At 37.0% G+C, this 21,801-nt stretch overlaps 1 protein-coding gene across 3 annotated transcripts in view, besides 3 other annotated features; it reads right to left on the bottom strand.

Moving 5' to 3' along the window:
- Positions 1-21,801, bottom strand: part of CRYBG3 (crystallin beta-gamma domain containing 3) — a 122,974-nt gene that overhangs the window by 33,494 nt on the left and 67,679 nt on the right. For 2 of the 3 annotated variants that reach the window (NM_153605.4, XM_005247117.5), the window contains 5 exons: positions 18,498-18,631; positions 15,406-15,532; positions 12,466-12,608; positions 12,228-12,354; positions 11,006-11,038 (listed from right to left, as the gene is read on the bottom strand). In NM_153605.4, coding sequence (NP_705833.3) covers positions 11,006-11,038; positions 12,228-12,354; positions 12,466-12,608; positions 15,406-15,532; positions 18,498-18,631 — 564 coding nt within the window. Of the gene's footprint in view, positions 1-11,005; positions 11,039-12,227; positions 12,355-12,465; positions 12,609-15,405; positions 15,533-18,497; positions 18,632-21,801 lie in introns of those variants that run through there. The other variant, XM_047447439.1, reaches the window with a different exon arrangement.
- Positions 449-1,038: an enhancer, noted in NCBI's record as "OCT4-NANOG-H3K27ac-H3K4me1 hESC enhancer chr3:97629297-97629886 (GRCh37/hg19 assembly coordinates)". NCBI's record gives its function as "activates a minimal SCP1, AML or CMV promoter by ChIP-STARR-seq in primed H9 embryonic stem cells {active_cell/tissue: H9 hESC(primed)}" and the evidence as "EXISTENCE:reporter gene assay evidence [ECO:0000049][PMID:30033119]".
- Positions 1,039-1,629: an enhancer, noted in NCBI's record as "OCT4-NANOG-H3K27ac-H3K4me1 hESC enhancer chr3:97628706-97629296 (GRCh37/hg19 assembly coordinates)". NCBI's record gives its function as "activates a minimal SCP1, AML or CMV promoter by ChIP-STARR-seq in primed H9 embryonic stem cells {active_cell/tissue: H9 hESC(primed)}" and the evidence as "EXISTENCE:reporter gene assay evidence [ECO:0000049][PMID:30033119]".
- Positions 14,771-15,562: an enhancer, noted in NCBI's record as "OCT4-NANOG hESC enhancer chr3:97614773-97615564 (GRCh37/hg19 assembly coordinates)". NCBI's record gives its function as "activates a minimal SCP1, AML or CMV promoter by ChIP-STARR-seq in naive and primed H9 embryonic stem cells {active_cell/tissue: H9 hESC(naive and primed)}" and the evidence as "EXISTENCE:reporter gene assay evidence [ECO:0000049][PMID:30033119]".

The raw sequence follows: 21,801 nt of genomic DNA, 5'->3' as shown, positions 1-21,801 counted from the left end.
ATATACAACTACATGTCTACTTTAGTCAATTTTGTCAAGAAAAATCCATGAAATCTCAACTATAATTCCCTTTAGACCAGATATATAATAATCTGCAACTCTAGTAGCCTTGAATCTACAATAGGAATGAAAAAAATTAAAGAGCCCGTAAAAATTTCATAACACACTGGAGACTTGGAACAACATGGCCCACAGGTCCACCCTGCACTGACAGGCCTGCACTAGGGCACAGAACATCACAACAAACCATCTGCTCATGCTGTCATCGAGGATAAGGCTTTTCTGAGCAGCTAATGTTCACCTCCCTCGTCTTCCCAAAGGCCTCTACTTAGAATTGTTTCTTGGTTATCTCATTCTGCTCTGACCTTACTTGATCTGTTATCAAAGATCAGTCAAAATCAGGGAGGTGAGAAAACTACTTCCCCATATCATCTGTGGCTTGCACAACACCACTTCCTACTGTGAAACCACACTGTATTTGGAGGATTAAAACATCAAGGGACTTCTTGCCTTAAGGAGATGTGATCCAGCAAGTTTCTGCTGTAGTCCTAGCAGATATAGAGGATAGCAAAGAAATGAAGTCCAAACCAAGACATACTTAGGTTTTTTAACTTAAAGATGTATAAAATGTGAGGCTAAAAAGCAAATCACTTTTAACCTCCAAAAAATGCAGAGACATTTCTCCTGCATAGAAATATCTTTAAAAAAATAAAAGAAGGGGGAGGAGCCAAGATGGCCGAATAGGAACAGCTCCGGTCTACAGCTCCCAGCGTGAGTGACGCAGAAGACGGTGATTTCTGCATTTCCATCTGAGGTACCGGGTTCACCTCACTAGGGAGTGCCAGACAGTGGGCCCAGGTCATGGGTGCGTGCACCGTGCGCGAACCGAAGCAGGGAGAGGCATTGCCTCACTTGGGAAGCGCAAGGGGTCAGGGAGTTCCCTTTCTGAGTCAAAGAAAGGGGTGACGGACAGCACCTGGAAAATCGGTTCACTCCCACCCTAATACTGCACTTTTCCGGCGGGCTTAAAAAACGGTACACCACGAGATTATATCCTGCACCTGGCTCGGAGGGTCCTACGCCCACAGAGTCTCGCTGATTGCTAGCACAGCAGTCTGAGAACAAACTGCAAGGCGGCAGCCAGGCTGGGGGAGGGGTGCCCGCCATTGCCCAGGCTTGATTAGGTAAACAAAGCAGCCAGGAAGCTCGAACTGGGTGGAGCCCACCACAGCTCAAGGAGGCCTGCCTGCCTCTGTAGGCTCCACCTCTGGGGGCAGGGCACAGACAAACAAAAAGACAGCAGTAACCTCTGCAGACTTAAATGTCCCTGTCTGACAGCTTTGAAGAGAGCAGTGGTTCTCTCAGCACGCAGCTGGAGATCTGAGAACGGGCAGACTGCCTCCTCAAGTGGGTCCCTGACCCCTGACCCCTGAGCAGCCTAACTGGGAGGCACCCCCAGGCAGGGGCACACTGACACCTCACACGGCAGGGTATTCCAACAGACCTGCAGCTGAGGGTCCTGTCTGTTAGAAGGAAAACTAACAAACAGAAAGGACATCCACACCAAAAACCCATCTGTACATCACCATCATCAAAGACCAAAAGTAGATAAAACCACAAAGATGGGGAAAAAACAGAACAGAAAAACTGGAAACTCTAAAAAGCAGAGCGCCTCTCCTCCTCCAAAGGAACGCAGTTCCTCACCAGCAACGGAACAAAGCTGGATGGAGAATGACTTTGACGAGCTGAGAGAAGAAGGCTTCAGACGATCAAATTACTCTGAGCTACGGGAGGACATTCAAACTGAAGGCAAAGAAGTTGAAAACTTTGAAAAAAATTTAGAAGAATGTATAACTAGAATAACCAATACAGAGAAGTGCTTAAAGGAGCTGATGGAGCTGAAAACCAAGGCTCGAGAACTACGTGAAGAATGCAGAAGCCTCAGGAGCCAATGCAATCAACTGGAAGAAAGGGTATCAGCGATGGAAGATGAAATGAATGAAATGAAGCGAGAAGGGAAGTTTAGAGAAAAAAGAATAAAAAGAAATGAGCAAAGCCTCCAAGAAATATGGGACTATGTGAAAAGACCAAATCTATGTCTGATTGGTGTACCTGAAAGTGATGGGGAGAATGGAACCAAGTTGGAAAACACTCTGCAGGATATTATCCAGGAGAACTTCCCCAATCTAGCAAGGCAGGCCAACGTTCAGATTCAGGAAATACAGAGAACGCCACAAAGATACTCCTTGAGAAGAGCAACTCCAAGACACATAATTGTCAGATTCACCAAAGTTGAAATGAAGGAAAAAATGTTAAGGGCAGCCAGAGAGAAAGGTCGGGTTACCCTCAAAGGGAAGCCCATCAGACTAACAGAGGATCTCTCGGCAGAAACCCTACAAGCCAGAGGGGAGTGGGGGCCAATATTCAACATTCTTAAAGAAAAGAATTTTCAACCCAGAATTTCATATCCAGCCAAACTAAGCTTCATAAGTGAAGGAGAAATAAAATACTTTACAGACAAGCATATGCTGAGAGATTTTGTCACCACCAGGCCTGCCCTAAAAGAGCTCCTGAAGGAAGCGCTAAACATGGAAAGGAACAACCAGTACCAGCCGCTGCAAAATCATGCCAAAATGTAACGACCATCCAGACTAGGAAGAAACTGCATCAACTAATGAGCAAAATAACCAGCTAACATCATAATGACAGGATCAAGTTCACACATAACAATATTAACTTTAAATATAAATGGACTAAATGCTCCAATTAAAAGACACAGACTGGCAAATTGGATAAAGAGTCAAGACCCATCAGTGTGCTGTATTCAGGAAACCCATCTCATGTGCAGAGACACACATAGGCTCAAAATAAAAGGATGGAGGAAGATCTATGAAGCAAATGGAAAACAAAAAAAGGCAGGGGTTGCAATCCTAGTCTCTGATAAAACAGACTTTAAACCAACAAAGATCAAAAAAGACAAAGAAGGCCAATACATAATGGTAAGGGGATCAATTCAACAAGAAGAGCTAACTGTCCTAAATATATATGCACCCAATACAGGAGCACCAAGATTCATAAAGCAAGTCCTGAGTGACCTAAAAAGAGACTTAGACTCCCACATATTAATAATGGGAGACTTTAACACCCCACTGTCAACATTAGACAGATCAACGAGACTGAAAGTCAACAAGGATACCCAGGAATTGAACTCAGCTCTGCACCAAGCGGACCTAATAGACATCTACAGAACTCTCCACCCCAAATCAACAGAATATACATTTTTTTCAGCACCACAACACACCTATTCCAAAATTGACCACATACTTGGAAGTAAAGCTCTCCTCAGCAAATGTAAAAGAATAGAAATAATAACAAACTATCTCTCAGACCACAGTGCAATCAAACTAGACCTCAGGATTAGGAATCTCACTCAAAACCTCTCAACTACATGGAAACTGAACAACCTGCTCCTGAATGACTACTGGGTACATAACAAAATGAAGGCAGAAATAAAGATGTTCTTTGAAACCAACGGGAACAAAGACACAACATACCAGAATCTCTGGGACGCATTCAAAGCAGTGTGTAGAGGGAAATTTATAGCACTAAATGCCCACAAGAGAAAGCAGGAAAGATCCAAAATTGACACCCTAACATCACAATTAAAAGAACTAGAAAAGCAAGAGCAAACACATTCAAAAGCTAGCAGAAGGCAAGAAATAACTAAAATCACAGCAGAACTGAAGGAAATAGAGACACAAAACACCCTTCAAAAAATTAATGAATCCAGGAGCTGGTTTTTTGAAAGGATCAACAAAATTGATAGACCGCTAGCAAGACTAATAAAGAAAAAAAGAGAGAAGAATCAAATAGACGCAATAAAAAATGATAAAGGGGATATCACCACCGATCCCACAGAAATACAAACTACCATCAGAGAATACTACAAACACCTCTACGCAAATAAACTAGAAAATCTAGAAGAAATGGATAAATTCCTTGACACATACACTCTCCCAAGACTAAACCAGGAAGAAGTTGAATCTCTGAATAGACCAATAACAGGATCTGAAATTGTGGCAATAATCAATAGATTACCAACCAAAAAGAGTCCAGGACCAGATGGATTCACAGCCGAATTCTACCAGAGGTACAAGGAGGAACTGGTACCAATCCTTTTGAAACTATTCCAATCAATAGAAAAAGAGGGAATCCTCCCTAACTCATTTTATGAGGGCAGCATCATTCTGATACCAAAGCCAGGCAGAGACACAATAAAAAAAGAGAATTTTAGACCAATATCCTTGATGAACATTGATGCAAAAATCCTCAATAAAATACTGGCAAACCGAATCCAGCAGCACATCAAAAAGATTATCCACCATGATCAAGTGGGCTTCATCCCTGGGATGCAAGGCTGTTTCAATATATGCAAATCAATAAATGTAATCCAGCATATAAACAGAGCCAAAGACAAAAACCACATGATTATCTCAATAGATGCAGAAAAAGCCTTTGACAAAATTCAACAACCCTTCATGCTAAAAACTCTCAATAAATTAGGTATTGATGGGACGTATTTCAAAATAATAAGAGCTATCTATGACAAACCCACAGCCAATATCATACTGAATGGGCAAAAACTGGAAGCATTCCCTTTGAAAACTGGCACATGACAGGGATGCCCTCTCTCACCACTCCTATTCAACACAGTGTTGGAAGTTCTGGCCAGGGCAATTAGGCAGGAGAAGGAAATAAAGGGTATTCAGTTAGGAAAAGAGGAAGTCAAATTGTCCCTGTTTGCAGATGACATGATTGTATATCTAGAAAACCCCATTGTCTCAGCCCAAAATCTCCTTAAGCTGATAAGCAACTTCAGCAAAGTCTCAGGATACAAAATCAATGTACAAAAATCACAAGCATTCTTATACACCAACAACAGACAAACAGAGAACCAAATCATGAGTGAACTCCCATTCACAATTGCTTCAAAGAGAATAAAATACCTAGGAATCCAACTTACAAGGGATGTGAAGGACCTCTTCAAGGAGAACTACAAACCACTGCTCAAGGAAATAAAAGAGGATACAAACAAATGGAAGAACATTCCATGCTCATGGGTAGGAAGAATCAATATCGTGAAAATGGCCATACTGCCCAAGGTAATTTACAGATTCAATGCCATCCCCATCAAGCTACCAATGCCTTTCTTCACAGAATTGGAAAAAACTACTTTAAAGTTCATATGGAACCAAAAAAGAGCCCGCATTGCGAAGTCAATCCTAAGCCAAAAGAACAAAGCTGGAGGCATCACACTACCTGACTTCAAACGATACTACAAGGCTACAGTAACCAAAACAGTATGGTACTGGTACCAAAACAGAGATATAGATCAATGGAACAGAACAGAGCCCTCAGAAATAACGCCGCATATCTACAACTATCTGATCTTTGACAAACCTGAGAAAAACAAGCAATGGGGAAAGGATTCCCTATTTAATAAATGGTGCTGGGAAAACTGGCTAGCCATATGCAGAAAGCTGAAACTGGATCCCTTCCTTATACCTTATACAAAAATCAATTCAAGATGGATTAAAGACTTAAACGTTAGACCTAAAACCATAAAAACCCTAGAAGAAAACCTAGGCAATACCATTCAGGACATAGGCATGGGCAAGGACTTCATGTCTAAAACACCAAAAGCAATGGCAATAAAAGCCAAAATTGACAAATGGGATCTAATTAAACTAAAGAGCTTCTGCACAGCAAAAGAAACTACCATCAGAGTGAACAGGCAACCTACAAAATGGGAGAAAATTTTCACAACCTACTCATCTGACAAAGGGCTAATATCCAGAATCTACAATGAACTCAAACAAATTTACAAGAAAAAAGCAAACAACCCCATCAAAAAGTGGGCAAAGGACTTGAACAGACACTTCTCAAAAGAAGACATTTATGCAGCCAAAACACACATGAAAAAATGCTCATCATCACTGGCCATCAGAGAAATGCAAATCAAAACCACAATGAGATACCATCTCACACCAGTTAGAATGGCAATCATTAAAAAGTCAGGAAACAACAGGTGCTGGAGAGGATGTGAAGAAATAGGAACACTTTTACACTGTTGGTGGGACTGTAAACTAGTTCAACCATTGTGGAAGTCAGTGTGGCGATTCCTCAGGGATCTAGAACTGGAAATATCATTTGACCCAGCCATCCCATTACTGGGTATATACCCAAAGGACTATAAATCATGCTGCTATAAAGACACATGCACACGTATATTTATTGCGGCATTATTCACAATAGCAAAGACTTGGAACCAACCCAAATGTCCAACAATGATAGACTGGATTAAGAAAATGTGTCACATATATACCACGGAATACTATGCAGCCATAAAAAATGATGAGTTCATGTCCTTTGTAGGGACATGGATGAAATTGGAAATCATCATTCTCAGTAAACTATACTATCGCAAGAACAAAAAACCAAACACCGCATATTCTCACTCATAGGTGGGAACTGAACAATGAGATCACATGGACACAGGAAGGGGAATATCACACTCTGGGGACTGTCATGGGGTGGGGGGAGGGTGGAGGGATAGCATTGGGAGATATACCTAATGCTAGATGACGAGTTAGTGGGTGCAGTGCACCAGCATGGCACATGTATACATATGTAACTAACCTGCACAAGGTGCACATGTACCCTAAAACTTAAAGTATAATAATAATAAAAAAAAGATTATAAAAAAAAGACTCAGAAACTTAAAAAAAAATAAAAATAAAAAAATAAAAAATAAAAAAAATAAAAATAAAAGAAAAGCCGCATGAGAAGAGAGACAGGTTGTCTTGTTCACTAACTACATTCCCAGTTTGTTTATTAGTTGTATACTGCTGAGCTGAAGATTTATACTTCAACATTTTCACAATGAAGCCATGAAACATCAAATCCTGGACTACTGATACTGCCAGTGAAGCATATTTCAGATGGTATATACAGTAGCCACCTCCAGTTTTTTGTCTCAGTCTTCATACCCGGAAAAATCAATTAAAATTCATATACACACGCAGAAATAATGTTATAAAGTATCTCTTGATTTGATGGGTTAAAATAATCTTTGTCCAAACTTTAAAAACTGGGTTAAATGCTTATCTGAGTTGACTAGATGAGATATGGTATATGATTCACCCAGAATTAGACCAATTCTACAAAAATATGCCTCACTTTGATCACCTTATCAATCCTCAAAATAGAACAATTCTCATAATAATGTTCTGAGGATTGTCCATAGAGAAACCAACTCTGAGCTTGCTGATTATAATAATTAACTTGTGGTTTCTACTGTTGGTGAAATTAAGGACAGAGCCTTGGAGAAATTCAGTCCTTGGAAAAACTAGCTGGATAAATGACCATGTTGGCTACCTTTACAGAACAATCGATAACAAATATACAAAACAACTCAGGTTGCTTAAAACCGAGGCAAATTGACAAATAAGAGATGAGTGTTTTCCAGACTACACCCATCCTTCTGTGCCATGTTGGTACGGCTCAATCCCTAACAGCTCCCCAACTGGAAATGGAAGCGAAGGAAAAAAAGTATTCCTCTGGTTTGCTTTTCACATGTATTATTGTATTTCTTTCTTAGAACTACCAGTATTGAGCAGAAATTATCTCCACTATATTATGAAGATTTTACAGAAATTCTTTTTGCTACATAATTTTCACTTATATACTAACAATATGTGGTAATATATATCTTTAATATGACAAACTAAAAATGCAATGAACTACTGACAAAACACAGCTGTGCTCACTTATTCTACAATATCAGCATTATTTTTAATGTAATTTTAGTTACTCCAATACTAAAATAGTTTCTATGAGAAACTTTCTTCCCTGTCTAAATAAGACTTTCTCTAGCCCTTTGAGCCTCCCTCATAGAAATATGTTGATTATTAAGGAAAAGTCTTATTTCCATTCTTCTATTACATCACATCTTTCTCATATTGTAGTGTTATATATTTCTCATATTGGTTATATATTCTACAATGATTTCATTTCCCTTATTAACCATAAAGGCTTTCTTTACTGAAATAATTCTTCCTAAGTATTTCTGTGATTTGGCTCCTATAAAAATGATCTGGTTAAAGTGCCACAAAGAAGTGTTTTCTCTTTACTGCTTGTGAATCTTACTGTATTTGCCTAAAGCTGTGATTTTCCTATCCCCCATACATGAAAACAGTAGCAACAATTATTACAGATCCTGTGATCACTTTAAAATTCAGTGAGGCTAAATTATCCAATATAAGAAAACGCCTAGTTGCTTTTCTTGGTGAGAATCATGCATAAAATGGAACAGGGGCTCAATGTTTAAATAAATCCAAACATTTAATTATATCTGGAAATGGACTTTAAAAAGATTCTAGAAACAAAAGGTACTTGGCTGAGTCAAAGGGGAGAACTGGTTAGAATTTCTAGAGAATGATGCCTAACTACAACCTCCTCTGAAAACTAAATTCACTGTTATAAGATTTAATCTAGTGCTAGATTTCAGATATTCAGGACTTGCTGTAAGAGAGATGATGACGACATGCAGATAATACATATTCTGTTTGGTTTTTGTTTTGTTTGGGGGAAAAATTAAAAAAAGTCACTTGCTAATGGTGAAGAATTCTATAGCGATCCTGTATATCTTGAGTTGCTAATTAGACATAGCGACCAACCTTCAGTCTTCAGGAAAAAAAAATCTTCTCAATAAAAGGTGGTGTTCTCTGCATGTTCTCACTCATAAATGGGAGTTGAACATTGAGAACATATGGGCACAGAGAAGGGAACAACACACACCAGGATTTGCTGGGGAGTGAGGGGCGAGGGGAAGGAACTTAGAGGACTGGTCAATAGGTCCAGCAAACCACCATGGCACACGTATACCTATAAAACAAACCTGCACGTTCTGTACATGTATCCCGCTTTTTTTTTTTAGAAGAAATAAAGACAAAAAATTAAAATAAAATAAAACTTTCCTAATCCCAAAACAAAAAATAAATAAAATTAAAAAATAAAAAGTGATGTTCCACCAATATCTCAAATAAGCCATATCTCATCATAATGTTTCCAGGTCAGCAACAATATTTTTAATCACCATAACACTCATAATGTATATTAATCCCTACACACATACATTTTCTGGCTTTTCCCCTCTTAGGTTGCTTGAGGTTCCCTTTAAAATCACCAGCATAAAAAAATTCCCTCTCTGACTTGAGCTCTGAAATGAAACTTCCTCCTTATTCCTCAGGGAAAATTAGTACCCCATCTGAACACAGCATCTGTATTGCCAATCTGACTTTTGTAACTACTGCCTGTTGAAAATACTTTCTAGTTATTGAACGGAACCAGCGTGTCAGCCAAGATCTGTTTGTTTAAGTAAGCATAAACAAGAAGAATGTCTGAAAATTGGTCCACTGAAAATAACAAGACCTTTGATACTGGGTAAAGCAAGAATGTTTTGTTCATGTGTTACCAAATATCCAGCTATCATATACCTGTCAGAAATGCTTATTTCACAAGGCAATAACTTAGCCATACCCAGAAAAATGAAGTGGAGCTGATTTCACTGGGCGTTTTCTGCTGCTTCCTCTCTTCAAGTTAGACTGGAAATACTATCAAGAAAATCCTCCCAGCAATCTGCCCCAAACAAGGAAGTCCATAAAAAAAGAACAAGGAGGTAGGAGCAGGAGAAACAGAGATTTAAAAAATGAGGCTTTTTATCTGTACTTAGAACTCAAAAAATGTGCAGTTTGAAATAACTTCTCTTTCTTCTATCTACTCATGTTATTTTGATTCATGTGAAAAAATACTTTAAAAATCCACAGTTGGGAGTTTTCAAAATTTCAACATAAAAATCTGGCAGGAAGTGTCTCTAAATACAACAACTCAATTATATTCAGAAAGGAAATGTTCCCAATAGGCCTGAGCTAATCAGAAAATAATAAAACCCGAAAGCATTGTGAATGCAAACCTGGTAAAACTAAGCTGGTCTGAAATAAACACTGACATGAATATGAAAAACATACACATTCAGAGAAAAACACACACATTCAGAGAAAAACACTGAGCATTATGTAAAGGCAGCAAATGCCAAATATTTAAAAGTAATTACTATATTTGGCTTTTTGACAACAATTTTTCTGAATTTGTAATTTAAAATAAAACGAAACAATGTCTCTCACCCCCTCTTCCTTCTATAGTTGTACTGCTCGTATCATGATTATGTCTTTCTTTGATGTAAAACCCTGAACATGTGGTTTTGTCAAGTGCGGTCCATACTAGAAATGTCTCTTTTGCTACTTCTAGTTGTGTGTATAGCACTTACTTGTATTCTGAATCTCAGATTTATTGTCTATAAATGGGAGTAATACTGACCTTATGGACTTCTGAATTAGAAGTGTTAAATAGGCACAATTTCTAGCCCTCAATAGAAAATAAGCAAATGTTGGGCTCCAAAGTATTGTCCAGTCCCCTTCAAACTATTAATACAGTAGAAATGAATATAGGGTTTCAAGTTCACTAGCTCAGAAATATTTGATTATAGGTATTAGAAATACGTGTACATAATAAGCATGCCAAGACGTGACTTCTCCATGGTAAGTTTGCTCTTCCAGAAATAAATATAATATTCTATGAAGAATGTGACACTGAAGAAATAATGGACGATGGGAAAGAAAGAGTGCCAGAAGTTCAAAATGACCCTAAAGTGGTCAGAGCTACCGCTCTGTCAGGAGAAAACAAAAGGAAGTGTGACAAACCCAGTCTAATACAACCACTGACAAAGATGTGAATTCTTCTGCTCATAGGTACCAAATGCAATTGTAATCTGCTCTGCCAGAGAGACACATAAAAGTTATCTGCAGAAAAGAGAAAGATTTGAGAGAAAGGGTATAAATGCTTTTAGTAAACAATTTAACAATTACAAGAATATTTTTAAACATACCAAATGCGGAGGTTCATTTATCCCAAGTGGTTCCTGAAAAACATATTAAAACATTTTCAAAATTGTAATCACATAATCTGTCTTTTTGAAAGTTTTGAAAATACCCTTTGAAAAAAATTTTTTTTTCTTTTCTTTTTTGAGACAGAGTATTCCTCTGTTATCCAGGCTGGGGTACAGTGGCACAGTCTCAGCTCACTGCACCCTTGATCTTCAGGGCTCAAGCGATCCTCCCAACTCAGCCTCCCAAGTAGCTGGGACTACAGTCATGTGCCACCATGCCCAGTTAATTTTGCTTAATTTTGTAAAGACGAGGTCTCACTGTGTTGCTCAGGCTGGTGTCGAACTACTAGGCTTTAGGGATGTTTTACCTTGGCCTCCCAAAGTGCTAGGATTGCACCCCTGTGCCACTGCACCCAGCTTGAAAAATTTTTTTCATGGTTTGACCTATTTATGAGACTCTTTGAACTGGCTATGGATCTCAAATAACCTACTGAATTCTCTTATAATAATTTTGGTATTTATAACTAATTCATATTAAGTAATATTGTAGGTGGAAGAAAAATATGGCCTAGTGCCCATTACAAAGAAGGAGTGTGAATTTCTGAACATTATCTCATGGGCACTCTTATTGTTCTACAGGGTTTATTATCCAAACTGGCCACACTCTTCTACAACTTCATGAATTTGCATACAAGGAGATTATTCCTTCTTTGTGAAATGCCCTTTCTGCCTAGAAAAATTGGTTTTATCCTTTAAACTATCACTCAATTCACCAACACATCCTATTCTGTGGCAAGGTCTTCAATTCCCCAGGCACTGATTGTTCCTTTTCCCTGCTCCCCTGCACTGCCTACACACTTCATTTTCTCACTAATCATACTATCATTAATTGTCCATACATCTATTTCCCCTGGGAGACAGAACCATCAGGACAGTCTTATTCAATTCTTATCTCCAGTGATTAGCATAGTGTCCAACACATCAGAGACACTAAATAAATGCTGTTAAGTGAATGAACTGATCAAATTACAAAGCCATCTCATTCATGTGTTAATATCTACTACTGTCTATGGAGTCTATAGAAATTCAAGTGATATTGCATTTTCTTTCTATATACACACATGACATCATTCAACAACTCCACTTTTAAAAAGTGTTTTCCACATATTTAATTGCATACTATTACATGATGCAGCACTGGCTATGTTCATACTTCACTCACCAGTTGGATTGGCCGTATCGACATGATTATATTATTTGATCCTCCCCAGTCAAAAAAGCATTTGTATTTCCCTTTTTCTAAAATGTATTGTTCTCCACAGAAGAACTTTTGCTGGTAGGCAACCCATCTAGTAGGGAAAAAAGAAAAAACAAAAAAATAAAAACAAGTGATATACAATTGAGCAAACAACAATCTTAAACACCAAAGACTCTCAAGGTTCTTAGAGGAGGCAACTTACACTCCACTTTTAACATGAATGGATCTTGTTTTACTGCCAAAGCCAATTTCTTCCAAATCAGAAATTTCCTGATTTGTAATGTCAATAAACTTCCCACTTTCTAGGTCAGATTCAAATAGTGTGACAGAAGATTCTATAAAATTCTAAAAGGAGAAAGAGGAAAGTTTAGGAAAACATACATATTCTGTTTTATGGACTGCTATTATCTAGCAAAATATCACATACTGATGGGGTAATTTTTACACAAATAACTCCAGGAAGAATTTTAGATGGCCCTGGAAACAATTTTATAGCTATTACTTCCATATAGTTTAAAGGAAAAAATCAGCCTGAATTTACTTTAATTGGGAAGATATTACATTTTTGTATAAATAGAAAGTTGTCAACAGTAAATTGCTGAGACTTATAGGCTATCACAAGCAACATTAATTGCAAAGGAAACTAGTCTCACTTGTGCCTAAGGAATAAAAACTATATGAAACAAAAGTAAATAGTGTACTGTGGCAATGTGTGACAGGATTTTATGAGCTTAAATGTAATAGGAAAAATAGATATAATTTGCTTAACAAAAAATGCTCATTAAAATTTAAAATGATGAGAGGAAATTTAAAAAATTTATAGTGAGTCAACACATTTAAAACAAAGATAGAAAATCTCTATGACTCAAACAGATAAACCGGCAAAAGACAAAGACAGCTCATGAAAGAGAAAATAACAAATATGCAAATGTCTAATTTCATTAGTAAATTAAAGAAATTCAAACTAAAACAATTAGATAAAACTTTCTTTCTTTTTTTTTTTTTTCAAGAAGCAGTTTCGCTCTTGTTGCCCAGGCTGGAGTGCAATGGTGTGATCTCAGCTCACTGCAACCTCTGCCTCCCAGGTTTCCGCCATTCTCCTGCCTCAGCCTCCCGAGTAGTTGGGACTACAGGTGCCCACCACCATGCCCGGCTAATTTTTTCTATTTTTAGTAGAGATGGGGTTTCACTGTGTTAGCCAGGATGATATCGATCTCCTGACCTCGTGATCCACCCGCCTCAGCCTCCCAAAGTGCTGGGATTACAGGCATGAACCACCGTGCCCAGCCCAAAACTTTCATTTCTTAAAGAAAGATCTAAAAGTTCCGTTTTGTCAAAACATATTGCTCATGGAAACAAGATTAAACATCTATTTTAGAAAATGACTTAAAAAATAGTTTTAAAAGAAACTGTTCACACTCTCTGACCCTGTAATTCCTTTTTGAATTAAGAAAAGTCTCCTAAGGGAACTAAATGGTGAGAAACTTGTATGCAAAAATGCATTATTTACAATAGTGAAAAATTATAAACAATGTAAGTATGTCCAAAAAAATGGTTTAATAAGCCTTTTACTTCATCTGTTACTTGATGGAATATTAAATATAATTAAGAGTTTTTAACAAACTAACAGAATAAAGTCCAGGGTAAGCCCTATGAGATTACTAGATTACTACCATCGCTGCTTTTCTACACAATTAAGTAACTTCCAAAGTCACCTAGATTTAAATGTAGCTCTTCTGCTTGAGAATAAGGAACAATGATGAACAACCTTAAAAACTGTATTCCATTTTATATTTTAAAGCACTTGCATAAGTTAGTAGAATCTCAGGTACAGTACTCCCTACTACTAAGAGAACACCACTGAGCAATTGCTTCAGGCCCAAAGATAAGTCTTAAGGATCAGTAATTTGATTACTTTTAAATTCCATAAAATCTCTCAACTGAGTCCCTGCATTACAATCTCCAGAGGGCAATGTGATATGAGACATCGGTGGAGATCTTATGTATCCATTAATTTAGGATAAACAATGGTCTCCGCTGCATACCAACTCAATGTCAAAGATCTGAAAAGAGGCGTAAAGTCTGAAAATCGCAACAAAAGCAAATATAAAATTAATCTAGTATAGAACTAAGGAAAAACAAGGACACCAATAAAGTGTTATTGAGGAAGTCAAGGAATAAAAATTCCCTAGTCCCTGGAGCCTAAATACTGCTATATTCCTTTTGGTCCTCTCCTTAAAAAAAAAATAAAAATAACTACTCAATATGGCCCTTCATTATCTCACTTTAGATTCATCTTTCCAAAGTTCTCCCTAACATCCCGACTTAACCACATTTCCCTAAACATGGCAAAATTTCACTTACAGGAGGGTTTCTCAATCTCAGCACTATTAATACTGGGGACCGTGTAATTCTTTGTTGTTGGGGGCTGTCCTTCACATTGTAAGGGTTTGGCAGCAACCGTTGCCTCTACCCTCTAGATGTCAGTAGCACCACTGCTCCAGATATGACAATCCAAAATGTCTCCAGACACTGCCAAAGGCCCCCTAAGGGGTAAAATCACCCCCAGCTGAGAATCAATGGGTTATAACCTTGACTTTACACATTAACATGTTAATCTCTTGCTAAACAGGCACCTACCTTTTTCCTTCACCCTGTTTCTAGAACTTCTTCACTTGGTTAACTCTTTTTTGAACTTGAAATTTCAGCCAGCTGTCATCTTTTCCATGAAGCCCTCTCTATTCAAGTGGGGATAACTGACCAACTGATCTTTTTCTGGGGACCCTGAGTACTTTGTACTTAATACAATCATAGCCAAGCAATACCAAACATTTATATAAGTGCTATCTTCCTTACCAGACTGCCTGCTGTGTAAATGTGGGGGTTGAGTCTGGCCACTCCTGGCATCTAACAAAGAAGGTACTCAAAAGATGATTACGGAAACAATGGATGAAAAGTTAAAAAAAATTCCATAATAATCATGGCAGTTCAGAAAAACAGGCAAGTTGCATAAGCAGTTGAGGTTAATACTCTTGGGTGTTAGAAATATTTTATAATCTCATGTTCTATCAGGAGTCATGTCCAATTTTTGTGAACAGATTTTTTAAAAGGTAGAAAATTAAGGATAAGGAAGCTAACTCACAGCTTGTAAGTACCGGAAAGACAAGATAGGGCTACTTAATGCACCACAAGCATTACTGTCTTCAAAGTCTCCTTCTTCAAGCAGAAACTGCTGGCCTTTAAAATGTTCTTTTTCATAGGCAACCCACCTAGAAATACAGGGGACACCCAAATGACCCATTAATAAAACTGTAGTCAAGAAAGCAAAACAGAGACAATCAAGATAAAGCTCATAGTGGTTCATCTCCATATTGTAAAAAGCAACACATTAGTTTTGTTTCATTTATAAAGATAGACAAATGGTGTGTGCTTCATAGATCAATAATTTTTATAATTTGGAGGCTTTTCCCAACAAAAGGTTAATTATAGAACTGCAACAAAGCAATGCTTTTTAAATGTTTGTGGTGTGACTTGATACTACAGCGCAAGTTGGTCAGAGAACAATGTGTCAAGTAAATATAATACAAAGTGCATATAGCCAATGAGAAAGGATACAAATTTACATAGAGATCCAAAGATAGTCATTTTTATTTTACTAATTAAGCCATTCTGGAATGACAAAATGATTTTTACATGAAACATTGATTCAGGGTTTAAATAAAGCGAATCTGTCACGAGGCTTCAGTTCTAAAACAAAATACAAGATGGTTTATCAAAGAGGAACCAAGAAATTCGACTGAGCTATTATTAGCTTCAGGGCCCTACATGTATACAAGGACATCTGTAAATACTTACAGGTGGGAAATGTTGGTCCCACTACTTTCTTGACTTCTAATCTAAAACTATCAGTACAAGACACTGATAAATACCATGAGTTATTAAGCTCCTCCATAAAACTTACCTTTTTATAAACTAATCCACAGTATCTAATGCAATGTGGGCATAGATGGCTCATAAAACAAGTTGGCCTTCTCAAATCCGCCCTTAGCCACACTGCATAGTTAGACTGAGATGCCCTCCAATAGTGCAGATTCCAAGGATGACTATTTCTGAGCTCCAGGGTTGGGAAATTTGAAATTCAGGAGCTTGACAAAATAAAGCCTAGGAGGGCTGCCTACTACTGCTTTTTCTTTCTTCACTCCTACTGTGGTTGTGAAGGTACAGAAAGTATTCCAAATAATTGTTTTCATAGGGCACAAAATAGCAGCCATTGATTGTTACTCCCTCTCCCCTTCCTGTAAGTATAGGTATGACGGTGGGGCAGAGGGTCCACATGAATTGGAATAAACCTATAAACCTATTTATACATCTCAGTATATCTGTAATATGTAAATGAACCAACATTATTTTATTCTTAAACAATTATATGAAAATAAATTTCACAAAACAACTTTTAAATTCTAAGCTTTATTTTATATAAGTGTGGCTACTCAAAACACGCTTTTATTTATATCTGAATGGGAAAAAAAATAAAAGGTATAAAAGACCTTAAAGGATCAATTAAGATTCGCAAATTTATTATATGACAGTCCAATAAGCATGTACTCAGTTTTTCTTAATAGACTAAGTTTTGATTAAGATTCAATTTATATATCCATCTGGTATATTTAAAGATAGGTATTATCTGAGAAAAGTTAAGAAACATTAGTTTTACTTTCCCCAGATTCCTCAAGGTGGTACAGGGATGGAGTCCATGCTACCTACAGATACAATTAAATAACAAAACCAAAAAATGGTAGAAGTTGTGAAAAAAATAATCAGCTATTCCTCTTTAAATGGGGACATCACATCTTTCTCTTGCAGATGTCACAGACAAATGAAAGTTTGTATCCTGCATTACAAGTCATGTTTACTTAGGATTTTTACAAAATAGCTATTTAAAAAAAAACTTAGAGAATAACAATGCACATTGCACAGAATTTTAGCAGATAATTTTCTGTGCAGTAGAAAATTGGTTTTAACCTAAGTCAACCTAGTTAATAGGAAAAACATTTAGATCTCAAAGTGAGGAAAAGGCAAAAATATTTTACAGCAGGGTTATCAAGAAACATGTGTGTTCACAAACCAGACAATATTACAAATGAACACAATAAAAATGTGTTTATCCAAACCATATTTGTTCTTCAAGACCCTAATAAATTTTTTAAATTGAAGGACAAGGAAGTAAGTGATTAATATGTCAGACTAATAATTGATATAATCTACATATCCAGCATATATAATCTCTTACATTTTTATTGTGACTAGTATGGCTATTACTTAATTTACTGCCGGAAACTGCAAAGTCTAGTTCTCTAAATATAGGCCCTTGAGTGATCTTAAACAATTCATTTAACTTCTGTGAATAAAATATTTTAGTAGCATCTTTTACTAGAGTAGCTATTAGCAAAATTATATGATGTTACTGCAAATACCAAGAGATACTGATACTTAAAACAAACTAACGTTCCAAAATAACCAATGTATCAACAGAGAGACAACAGAATGTTTCTAGAGGGATTCCAGCATTGGGTTGACAATGATAAATAAACAATGAGGACAGTTTCTTCTTCATTGTTTCACCTACCAGGATACGAATATAAAGGTACATCCCAGGCCCATCACAGATTTGGGGGGCTTCTGCCCCAGGAACTGCTGACTAAGACTGCGATGGTAGCAATGATGGTTACACTTGGGTTTATATCCAGGGGTTCCTAGAGAGCTTCCTCAAAAGCAGTTCAGAGCCCGGAGGGCAACCAATGTCAAAAATCCTTGACTTTGGAAACACATAACCCAGATCCTTTTTTAACAAGGGAAGGCTCACTGGCAAGGTCCTTGGTACATAAGTCAAGTATGATCAACAAAATAGTGGATAAAAACTGGGGCTGTCATTCACGTTCATAACTTGTGAAAACCTAATTTTATCTTGCAATTCTTATAGTCTATCCTGTGTTCAGAAATACAAGGTGCTGCAGTTTCAGAAACTATTTTCTACATTTAATATATCTCAAAATATTTAATACAAACAAGAGTCCACAGAAAACCATAAGTAACTAATATTTTTTACTTTCCATATTACAGAAGGAATGTATATTTTTAGATTAAAAACAAATCATTTTTGCTTTGCTTAGCACATTTTTGTGCTGACCTTCAAAAACAGACTACTTGTGCAAATGTTAAAAATATGATACTCACACTCCACCAATGACACGAATTGATCCAATTCTGTGAAAATCTCCATTATTTTTCAAAAAATTAGGAACAGAATCTATATGTTCACTAAACTCTTTAGCCTGTCCATGGAAGTGAGGTTTTTCATAAATAATAACCTGAAAAATTATTTAACATGTTTATATTTTAATATAGACACATATTTACTTAAGTGACACCAAAGACCACAAAATGTACAGGGACTACTATCTATTTTTTTTTAATTAATATGAGGAGATTTCAAAAAGTTCATGGAAAAGGTGTATTACAAAAAACTATGCAGGGATTGCAAAATTTTTTGCACCAAAATCAACTTCTACTAACTTGTTATAACACATCTGAAAAGGATCTACTTCGAGGTGCTAAGAAGAACAAAACAGTAGTTTGAAAAAAGCCCCTATCAGAGCAACACAAATTTTGCTAAAAATGATGCAAGAATAAACAAATTTATGGTGAAGCTTGGGTAGAAGAATGGTGAAATCACTAATGATTTACAAAACGTTTATGGTGACAATATCCCAAGGAAATCAGCAGTTTACATATAGGTAACTCATTTAAGAAGGGACGATATGATGTTGAAGATGAAGCAAGAATCGGCAGACCATCCGCGTCAATTTGAAAGGAAAAAATTCATCTTGTTTGCACCCTAATTGAAAAGGACTGATGATTAACCGTAGAAACAATAGCCAACACCACAGATACCTCAGTTGGTTCAGCCTGCACAATTTCGACTCAAAAATTAAAGTTGAGCAAACATTTCATTCTATAGGTACCAAGACCGTTATGCTCCGATCAGCTGCAGATAAGAGCAGAGCCTTCAACTGAAAATTTAAACAAATGGGATAAAGATCCTGAAGCATTTCTTCAAAGAATTATAACAGGAGATGAAACATGGCTTTACCCGTATGATCCTGAAAACACAGCGCAATCAAAGCAATGGCTACCAAAAGGTGGAAGTGATCCCGTCAAAGCAAAAGCAGGCCAGTTAATGGCAAGGGTCGTGGCAACAGTTTTTTGGGATGTTCAAGGCATTTTGCTTGTTGGTTTTCTGGATGGCCAAAGAACAACATCTGTTTATTATGAAAGTGTTTTGAAAAAGTTAGCCAAAGCTTTAGCAGAAAAACACCCAGGGAAGCTTCACCAGAAAGTCATTCTCTACCACGGCAATGCTCCCATTCATTTCTCTCCTCAAACAAGGGCAATTTCCCAAGAGTTTCCATAAGAAATCATTAGGCATCCACCTTACGCTCCTGAGTTGCCTCCTTCTGGCTTCTTTTTTTCCCCTAATCTTAACAAAAACTCTAAAGGAAACCCATTTTCCTTCAGTTAATAACATAAAAAAGACTGCATTGACATAGTTAATTTGCAAGACCCTCAGTTCTTTAGGGTGAACTAAATAGCTGGTATGACTGCTTACGAAAGTGTCTTGACAGTGACGAAGCTTATGATGAAAAATAACGTCTATAGTTATTTTTATATTTTAATTCCATTTTTTCCATGAACTTTTTGAAGTCCCCTCATGTATACTTACAGTATAGCACAATGTTGGATATTCACAAAGAATATGTGAGTCTTTATCATCATAAGGATAAAATAGCTTATTTAATAAGAAGTTTCTCTCATATTACAATAATATACTTGAGTGTGATTACATTGTTTGGGTCACCCAAATACTGGGATCATCTCATAGGGTAAACTGCCTTATAACTAACTGATTCTTGAATTATCTTTATAAGTATATCCCTGTGTTCGGAATTTTAATATAGACCTTCCTTCTACTTACTGAATTTCCCCTAAAGAACTCTCTTGAGATTCCAGGGTATAACAATAAATTATCTATTGACTTTAAAAATACATACTGTTTCTTACAATGCTAACTGCTTCTATGGCCTACTATTCATTGAGAAGAAACAGACATGCAAATTCTAGAATTTAAATACAAAACTTCCTAAAAAATAAGAAATTACTGAAAAATATTATTTCTAAAGATTGGATATTTGATTCAAATTGAGGGGATGCAATACATATTGTCAGAAACAAATTTTTGGCATTTACTTCAAATTTGGATTGGAATAGTATTTCTCCTTTACTATTTTGCTGTTTTTTCACTTCTCAAATACTAGCTGCATTAAGTATGAGGAAGTGATAACAGCATTTATCCACATTCTCTCACTTGGTCCTATTTGTGGGTAATGGAATAATTTGTGCACAAATGTCAACTCAATATCTTGCCAAATAAACCCCATGCTTAAAAACACTAAATCAAAAGGTTATAGCTTCCTTACGACTAAAAACTGATAATATTAGGGAAACAATATATAGTACCAATCCTGCACTTTTCCATGTTAGGTTTGCACAGGGTACTATATTTGAGATGACAAAGTTTTATTTGGGTTTAATACATGTTACATATGCTGACCACATTCAAACTCAGTAAGAAATACAAATTCTTTGATGGGAAAGCCACAAATTAATATCAAACAACTTATAAATTGTGATTACCAATCCATTCATATACACCTACAACCTGTCAAACTGCAAATGTCCAAGGAAGATCCAGCCTGTCACAACTGAAGTCCTGATTGACCAGACTAGGAGACTGAGACAGAAGGCATTCAGACAGCTTCACAGCTAATTGTACATCTTTTACATCTTGACTGCAAATAGAATCACCTAGGACTCTTTGCAAACTGTTGACCACGGCCCAAACTAATACAGTATCTCTGGGAGTGCAGCCCAGGCTCAAGCATTTTTAAAAACTCCAACATGTATAATTCCAACATACAGTCAAAGTATATTAGATACACTCAGATAAAGAAGTTTTAAAAGACTACATCTATGTGGCTGAGAGAATGGAAGTCAGTTCCATAAATCAGAAAGCCCAGAAATGGGAGAGTTGAAGGAGTTGCATCTTGCTTTAGAGAAGAGGAAGACGAATGAATCCCTGCTTCCATACCTGCCTCTGGAGGTGCTGTAACCTAATTACAAGCAGGCCTGTTTGCATCTTTTATCACTGTACTGGTTTGCCTTCTCTCTCTCTCTAAACATACTTTGTAATTCTGTTTCCTCCTTTCTTTCCCTGAATTTGCTTGATCCTGGCACCACTGCTACCCATTTTCATTGCCTCGCCGCTACTTTTCCCTTTGGATACTCATACTTACAAACTGCCATCTACCTGATAAGAGCTACCTACACTTCCTTTTGATCAGCCTTGATCATGTTCCTGAGCATCACTCCCAAATGCCCGCTAGATATCTCCACTTCAATAACTAGCTGCTTTCTCAAGTCC

This window comes from Homo sapiens, chromosome 3 (genome assembly GCF_000001405.40).
Source record: "Homo sapiens chromosome 3, GRCh38.p14 Primary Assembly".
In the NCBI taxonomy this organism is placed as follows: Eukaryota; Metazoa; Chordata; class Mammalia; order Primates; family Hominidae; genus Homo; species Homo sapiens.
This window is presented reverse-complemented; position numbering and strand designations above follow the sequence as displayed.